Raw genomic sequence first — 8,413 nt, 5'->3', positions numbered from 1 at the left:
CTTCAGATCAGCCCTAAGATAAGACGTGGGTGGCTACACATCACAGAAAGCTTGCTTTTTATAGATAGAAAATGTGAATCTTGGCCATATATATAACTGCACGTATAAACAAGATTCAGGTTTGGGAGTGAGGCAGGCTAGAGAACAGGTGCAGCAGATGTTTTTCCTCAGCATATCTTCTACAGGTGGGATGTATTCAACTATGTTTTCAGTACCTATGCAGTGAACATGGTGGTGATGGAAGGGGCTGAGGGGAAGGATTAGACTTTCCCAATGTGCAACTGAAACAAGCCTGCTTGTTGTCAGACATGCAGGGGGATCAAAGCAGGGTCTCCTTATGTCCCTGCTCTCCCATAAAGAGAACACAGCCTTCCAGCTTCCTGTGCCTTGTGAAGCCATAATTCACCTGTGCCCCTGCACTGCTACAAAGATAAAAAGAACTAATCAGCAAAAGCTCATAAGGAAATTGAGGATCCCAGGAACATTTCCAGATGTACCTGAACACTCACCTGGAGCACAGAGCAGAGTTCTCACAAGGCTGCTGTCTTGTGCTCCGCCCCACTCAGATGCAGAGATTCCTAAGGAGGTGACATTGATGGACGGCAGCAGCCCTGGCTTGGAAGGGCGGGCTGGGAGCCAGGCCTCATGACCTACCAGGTGCCCCGGTAGGTAGGACCAGCCAGGCTCCCTAGGTACAAATAGCCCTGGCCTCCATGACTACACAGGCTCCTGGAGTCGAATCCAAATCACTCATTGTGAAAGCTGAGCTCACAGCCGAATAAGCCACCATGAGGCTGTCAGTGTGTCTCCTGATGGTCTCGCTGGCCCTTTGCTGCTACCAGGGTGAGTACATCAGTCATGAGTCCAGCACCAGCCCCTGGGATGCACCCTCTTCTGAGCACAAGATCACCTATTTGTGCTTTGGGTTGGGGTCTGCACAAAACCAAACAAAATTCCAAACCCTTTTCTGTGCTTGTTGAATAAGATTCATAAAGGTTAGAGCTATTTCTTCTTTCTTCTTCCTTTTTTTTTTTTTTTTTTTGAGAAGTTTTGCTCTTGTTGCCCAGGCTGGAGTGCAGTGGCATGATCTTGGCTCACTGCAACCTCTGCCTCCGGGGTTCAAGTGATTCTCCTGCCTCAGCCTTCCTGAGCAGCTGGGATTACAGGCATGGGCCACCACAGCTGGCTAATTTTGTATTTTTAGTAGAGATGGGGTTTCTCCATGTTGGTCAGGCTGGTCTCGAACTCCCGACCTCAGATGATCTGCCCGCCTCGGCCTCCTAAAGTGCTGGGATAACAGGCATGAGCTACTGCGCCTGGCTGCTTAGAGCTATTTCTTCTAATCCCCAGTATCTAAGAAGTTTTATAGAAAAATCAGTTCAGGCAAATGTTAGGAATTCTTCTGCCTGAGCTTCACTTCTGAATGGGATCTGTGTCAGATGATGTAATGTGAGGTCTGGGGTGAACCTGGGCTTCGACACTTCCCACCCCTTGATCTTGGGCACAATGCTCACCCTCCTTGAGCCTCCTCTTATCACTGGTGGTTAAAGCTTCTGCCAGGAGTGGCTATGAGAATGAAGTAAGGTTATGGTTGTCAAGAGTCAAGCTGTGGGCCAGGCATGGTGTCTCATTCCTGTAATCTTAGCACTTTGGGAGGCCACAGTGGGCAGATCACTTGAGCTCAGGAGTTCAGCACCAGCCTGGGCAACATGGCGAAACCCCATCTCTACAAAAAAAAAAAACAAAACAAAACACACACACACACACACACACACACACACACACACAAAAGCGGGCATGGTGGCAGGCACTGGTAGTCTCAGCTACTTTGGGGGCTGAGGGAGGATCGCTTGAGCCCAAGACATTCAGGCTGCAGTGAGCCGAGATTGTGCCACTGCATTCCAGTCTGGGTGAACCTATCTCAAAAAAAAGAAAAAGAAGTCTAGCTGAGGATATGAAGCTCTTCCCTTTGTTGTGTGACCCGGAGAAAGTCACACCTGGAGTTTCTGGTATTGTCATCAGCACAATAATGGTATAGAAACATAGAACCCAGGGGATCCTGTCTGGTGTAACCTCAGGGAGCCATGAGAGAAAAATCGACTTTCCTAACATCAACAATATTTTTATTTTTGTGCTGCAGCCCATGCTCTTGTCTGCCCAGCTGTTGCTTCTGAGATCACAGTCTTCTTATTCTTAAGTGACGCTGCGGTAAACCTCCAAGTTGCCAAACTTAATCCACCTCCAGAAGCTCTTGCAGCCAAGTTGGAAGTGAAGCACTGCACCGATCAGATATCTTTTAAGAAACGACTCTCATTGAAAAAGTCCTGGTAATTTCTTTCTCCTTTATGCAGAGGCAGAATTCAACTCAGCTGCACACAGCCTCCTGCATGTTTCTTGTCAGGTCACCTGCCTGGATGCTGTGTCCCCAGAGTGTGCTGAGGACATGGGGAGTGAGCTAGGGCCAAGGCAGGGATGGTGAAGGGCCAAGCACGGCCGCCTCCCTGCTGGGATCTTTCCTGAGGTCAACCTACCCTCACGCAGTGGACACGGTCACTATGGGATGTCCCAGGGAGTGTGGGAGATTTGAACAGGGAGAGGAGGCTTGAGGGGACCTAGAGCTGGGCCTCCCACAGACAGGGTGCTGGTGAACTGGGCTCCTGTGCAGCTTCTGCAGAGCCAGGAGCCCCTTGCAGCTCCTCAGGGCCCACTATCCACTCCTCATCCATGACACTCTCCTGACCACAGCCAGTGGGCCAAGACTTTTTCGCTGCTCTACCTACTGCAACGCCACACAAGTGGGATGTTCTCACTATGTCTTTCTCAAGAAATCAGAGATTCCAGGGCCCTCTCAGCCTGGCTGCCTCTGGATTGTTGTCCTGAGGTTTGGCTGCAAATACCCATAGAAGCTGCAGGGTCAGGGCTGATAAGACCCCTGGCCGTTAGGCAGAATTCTCCCATGGGAAGACTGGAGTCTCCTGGAAGGTGTGTTTCCCAGAAGCCCTCCCTGCCCTGCCTGGCTTCAGAGCCCTGGGTCCCCCATTACAGGGATCAGGAGACTCCACAGACCTGGGACAGCCCAGACAACAACCTCTTGCTGCACTGTCAACCCCTCCCCTCCTCCTCCATGAAAACCCTGGGCCTAACTCCTGGGTCTTCCCAGGTCTATTGGTCTGGTGGGGAAAGGCTGCTTTCTCACCAGAATGGGTGTTGTAAGGCCACCAGGTCTAGGCCTCAGTTTCCCAAACTGAATTCTTGCCTCTGCCTTTCCAATTGCCATTGGGGCAAAATCCCATTGGCCTCTTTGATGTTAGCCTATCATCACCAGCAGCAGCATGACTGACCTCACCTTTCTTTCTTTCTTTCTTTTTTTTGATTTCAGGTGGAAATAGTGAAAAAATGTGGTGTGTGACATGTAAAAATGCTCAACCTGGTTTCCAAAGTCTTTCAACGACACCCTGATCTTCACTAAAAATTGTAAAGGTTTCAACACGTTGCTTTAATAAATCACTTGCCCTGCACATCTCCACTGGTCTTGTTATGATCCTGCAGTCTCGGGCCTTGAATCGAGGGTGGTTTCCATAGGGGAGTGGACTTTTGCTGTGGCTGATAATCAACTCTAGAGTAACCAGCATTCTGTTACTAATGGGGCCTGAATGCAAGCATCCCAGAAGGAAATATTTGCAGAAATCATCCTGGATTCCTTACAGATTTCCCATCCTGCGTTCGCGAATGAAAACCATGGCAATAGAAAACAGCAATTACAGTGGTCCTGCTGGTCTTGGACTGAGGGATCTCCCAGCCTGCCTTGGTGTCCAGGCACGTGGTTCCCACTAGCAGCAGCCCTAGCCCTAGTTTGTTGTCCCCTCAGATGCACAGCCAGCCTGCTTGGTGCTCTCTCTGCACCAAGTCATGTCCAGTATACTTTATTTTCCATTTATCACAATTTGAGGGCATCTCCAGGTTTCAACCTGGAGTTCACATTGTTTTACTCCCCACACTCAGAGCACTCCTCAGTGTCCGCCTCACTCACCAGCACCTGAGGCAAATGCTTCCTTCCTCAAGCTCTCTCAAGAGCTCCAGAGACCAGCACCCCTTGCCAACTGGACAGCTCCCAGTGCACACTCCACAGTCATTTCAGGAGCAGGATGTAAAACTGAGCACAGGGTCTGCCCCCAGCCTGCTCTCCCTTCCATAAGCCCATCCAGGCTAATGCACCCAACCTAGCAAGCCCCCTGACCAGGACATAGGGAGACGCCACAGGTTCCTGGCTTGGTGTCCTGTGGCTGCTGCAAGAAACCTCCGAAAGCTTGGTGGCTTAAAACAACGGATTCTCTTGTACCTCTGAAGGTCAGAAGCCCAACACTGGTATCACTGTGGGGAGGTCAGGGGGCAGCAGGGCTCTGTTCCTTCTGGGGGCTCTCCGGGCGAGTTCACTAAGGGCTGCTGACCATGCTGGTCCTGTGGCCACATCACTCCAACCTCTGCCTCCATGATACATTCCCATCTCCTTTCCTTTCCGTGTCAAATCCCTCTCTGACTTTTAATTACAAAATACAGAGGTTGGGGTTAGGAAGCACCAGATTATTCAGAATAATGTCCCTATCTCAAGATCCTTAACTGAATCATGTCTACATAATGCTTTTTCATCTTGCAATGGGCCATTCACAGATTCCAGGGATTAGAATGTGTATATCTTTTGGGAGATGGAGGCATAAATCAGCCAACTACAGCTTCCCTCCCTCCTGACTCCTCACCGTACCCTAAGTTCTGTTTACTCCATGGCCACAGTGTCACCTCCACGAGTCCCTTCCTTTCCATCACACAGCCACCTAACAGTCTTATCCGAGTCCTTCCAAACTCAACTCAGATTAATGTCTCCTAAATTGTCTCCCAGCCTCTGTGAGCCCTTCCTGTGATAAACCCTCCTTGTTCATGCCAATGCGAGCCTCCCAAAACTGAAACATGGTCCTATCCTCCAACAACCCTAAATGACCAGAGGGCACATGTTCTCAAGGGTTTCAAGTAAGAGAAGTCATTTTTTACCTAAACTCATATTTATATAATAATAGCTATTATTATACAACTGAGAAAATAGTAGATAACAGTAGTTATTATTATACATTGCTTTTAAAAGAAATTTGTATTTTAATAACACCAGAAAATATTGACACTTAAAAAAATAGAACCCAAGTGTGTGAAACTCATGACCAGTTTAGCCTACACATTGCGCATGGACAGACACAAGGATTCACAGACAGACACAAGGATTCCCAGAGCTCAGGCTACATTCTGAGAACCCCAGAGAGGAACCACTGCTGGAGAAACACATCCACAGCCTTGTGTTCCACATGAGGACTTCCAAGACCCTGCTCCTGGGAGCCCTGTCTCCTCATCTTCTGTTTTCCTGGGTGCTCTGTCCTCAGCCGTAGTTGTTGTATCTCATTTCTTATACATCACATGAGTCACATCCTTGCACCAGGCCATATAGGTTTTCCTTTGCCTTTATAGACTTACCTGCCTCTGACATTTGACCATCCCCAACCATAGAATGCACTTCACATGTCTCCTTCTCTGTAAGGCCCCCATGGATGCCCACACCTTACATTACATCTTTATACACACATGCACCCACATGCATAGACATCCTTTTTAATCATTCACTTATTTTCCTGTGAAATAGAATGCATGTCATAGCATTGTTGTGAGAACACATTAGATAAATTAATACTATAAAGCACTCAACATATCTTAGAAATTATTACTCAAATGCTTACAATTGATAAAAATTTCTATTTATTGAACACCCCAGTATGCATTTTGCTGGAACATTTTTCCTTTGTTTTTTAGTCCTCACTAGTACCCAGGAAGGTCCAAGATTGTTTCCACTAATGAACATGAGAATGAGAAATGCTTACCCAGGGCGCCTTAATCCTGGCTCTGTTTTGGAATCCACTGGGAAGCTGTCAAAAGCAGGTGATGCCCAGGCTCTGTCTGGAACACACGAATCTGTGTATAAGTAGACCCCATGCAGTCCTCATTCTCTTACCTCTCTCTTCTATAGGTGCAGTCATCCAGTGACCTGGGGAGGCAGTAGCTGGCACAGGAGTCCCCCATGATACTCACAGGACTCCTGACATCAGCAGGGCTGTCACTTAGGGCTGCTGCCTTAGCTACTTCCATAGCCTTTGAAGCCTGGGGGTCGCAAGGTGCTCACTCTTCTCAACGTTCAAAGCTGATCACATTCATGTCACATACGGTAACATTTTCCTTCCAGAGATGCTGTTAAAAGAGTGTGAAGTGGGATCCAGCAAGACCGCTCAGGCTGGGACAGGGAGAAGAGGGTATCAAAGTCATTGTTAAGAAGTACAGGGTTTCTGTTTGGAATGAGAATTTCCTAGAAATGTATAGTGCGACAACATCAAGAATACACTGAAGGCCACATAATTGTACACTTAAAAATGATTGAAATGAAAAGTTTCATGAAATGACAATACAATAAAAGAATGCAAGGACTGCTGCTCTCTGAGGGGGAGGAGGAATGTAACTGCAGGGGAGCTGGGCTTGTATTTTACCCCTAGAAACGCCTTCCTAGACCTGCCAGCATCTCATAGTCAGCTTTCTTGGTGTTCATGTGCTCATTGATTGACATCCTGGATGTCTTCTTTGCTAATGATATTACTAATTTTGAAGAACATCTAGTTCAAAAACCTGAGAATGAGGTTTACCAAGTGTGTAGGATTGACTCATGCAGGGTCTCTTGACTTTATTTCTTCAGGCATCTCTCATGACCACTGAGCTAAGTGGAGTCTCATAATTTGCTCTCTGGACAAATATTATTGGTCTCTGCCTAGGCACTTTTTCTCCAGTGTCTTCTCCCCATGATCCATCTTACACTTTATGACAAGCTCAGTATTCTGAATCCAAAGTTTTGATTTAGTCATCGCTTATTTATTTATTTATTTATCTATTTATTTATTATACTTTAAGTTCTAGGGTACATGTGCACAATGTGCAGGTTTGTTATGTATGTATACATGTGCCATGTTGGTGTGCTGCACCCATTAACTCGTCATTTGGCATTAGGCATATCTCCTAATGCTATCACTCCCCTCTCCCGCCACCCCACAACAGGCCCCAGTGTGTGATGCTCCCCTTCCTGTGTCCATGTGTTCTCATTGTTCAATTCCCTCCTATGAGTGAGAGCATGTGGTGTTTGGTTTTTTGTTCTTGCGATAGTTTGCTGAGAATGATGGCTTCCAGCTTCATCCATGTCCCTACAAAGGACATGAGCTCATCATTTTTTATGGCTGCATAGTATTCCATGGTGTATATGTGCCACATTTTCTTAATCCAATCTATCATTGTTGGACATTTGGGTTGGTTCCAAGTCTTTGCTATTGTGAATAGTGCTGCAATAAACATACATGTGCATGTGTCTTTATAGCAGCATGATTTATAATCCTTTGGGCATATACCCAGTATTGGGATGGCTGGGTCAAATGGTATTTCTAGTTCTAGATCCCTGAGGAATCGCCACACTGACTTCCACAATGGTTGAACTAGTTTACAGTCCCACCAACAGTGTAAAAGTGTTCCTATTTCTGCACATCCTCTCCAGCACCTGTTGTTTCCTGACTTTTTAATGATGGCCATTCTAACTGGTGTGGGATGGTATCTCATTTTGGTTTTGATTTGCATTTCTCTGATGGCCAGTGATGATGAGCATTTTTTCATGTGTCTGTTGGCTGCATAAATGTCTTCTTTTGAGAAGTGTCTGTTCATATCCTTTGCCCACTTGTTGATGGGGTTGTTTGTTTTCTTCTTGCAAATTTGTTGGAGTTCACTGTAGATTCTGGATATTAGCCCTTTGTCAGATGAGTAGATTACAAAAATTTTCTCCCACTCTGTAGGTTGCCTGTTCACTCTGATGGTAGTTTCTTTTGCTGTGCAGAAGCTCTTTAGTTTAATTAGATCCCATTTGTCAATTTTGGCTTTTGTTGCCATTGCTTTTGGTGTTTTAGACATGAAGTCCTTGCCCATGCCTATGTCCTGAATGGTATTGCCTAGGTTTTCTTCTAGGGTTTTTACAGTTTTAGGTCTAACATTTAAGTCTTTAATCCATCTTGAATTAATTTTTGTATAAGGTGTAAGGAAGGGATCCAGTTTCAGCTTTCTACATATGGCTAGCCAGTTTTCCCAGCACCATTTATTAAATAGGGAATCCTTTCCCCATTGCTTGTTTTTGTCAGGTTTGTCAAAGATCAGATAGTTGTAGATATGTGGTATTATTTCTGAGGGCTGTGTTCTGTTCCATTGGTCTATATCTCTGTTTTGGTACCAGTACCATGCTGTTTTGGTTACCGTAGCCTTGTAGTATAGTTTGAAGTCAGGTAGTGTGATGCCTCCAGCTTTG

At 46.3% G+C, this 8,413-nt stretch overlaps 1 protein-coding gene across 1 annotated transcript; it reads left to right on the top strand.

Moving 5' to 3' along the window:
• The first annotated feature begins 723 nt into the window (after positions 1-723).
• SCGB1D4 (secretoglobin family 1D member 4) lies at positions 724-3,518 on the top strand. Its single transcript, NM_206998.2, has 3 exons — positions 724-843; positions 2,141-2,327; positions 3,380-3,518. The coding sequence occupies exons 1-3, from the start codon at positions 789-791 to the stop codon at positions 3,387-3,389; spliced, it is 252 nt and encodes an 83-aa protein (NP_996881.1). The 5' UTR covers positions 724-788; the 3' UTR covers positions 3,390-3,518.
• The last annotated feature ends 4,895 nt before the right edge of the window (positions 3,519-8,413 follow it).

The sequence above is a fragment of the Homo sapiens genome, chromosome 11 (genome assembly GCF_000001405.40).
Source record: "Homo sapiens chromosome 11, GRCh38.p14 Primary Assembly".
NCBI classification, from domain to species: Eukaryota; Metazoa; Chordata; class Mammalia; order Primates; family Hominidae; genus Homo; species Homo sapiens.
The sequence above is the reverse complement of the archived record's forward strand: the minus strand, read 5'-3'. Positions and strand labels throughout refer to the sequence as shown.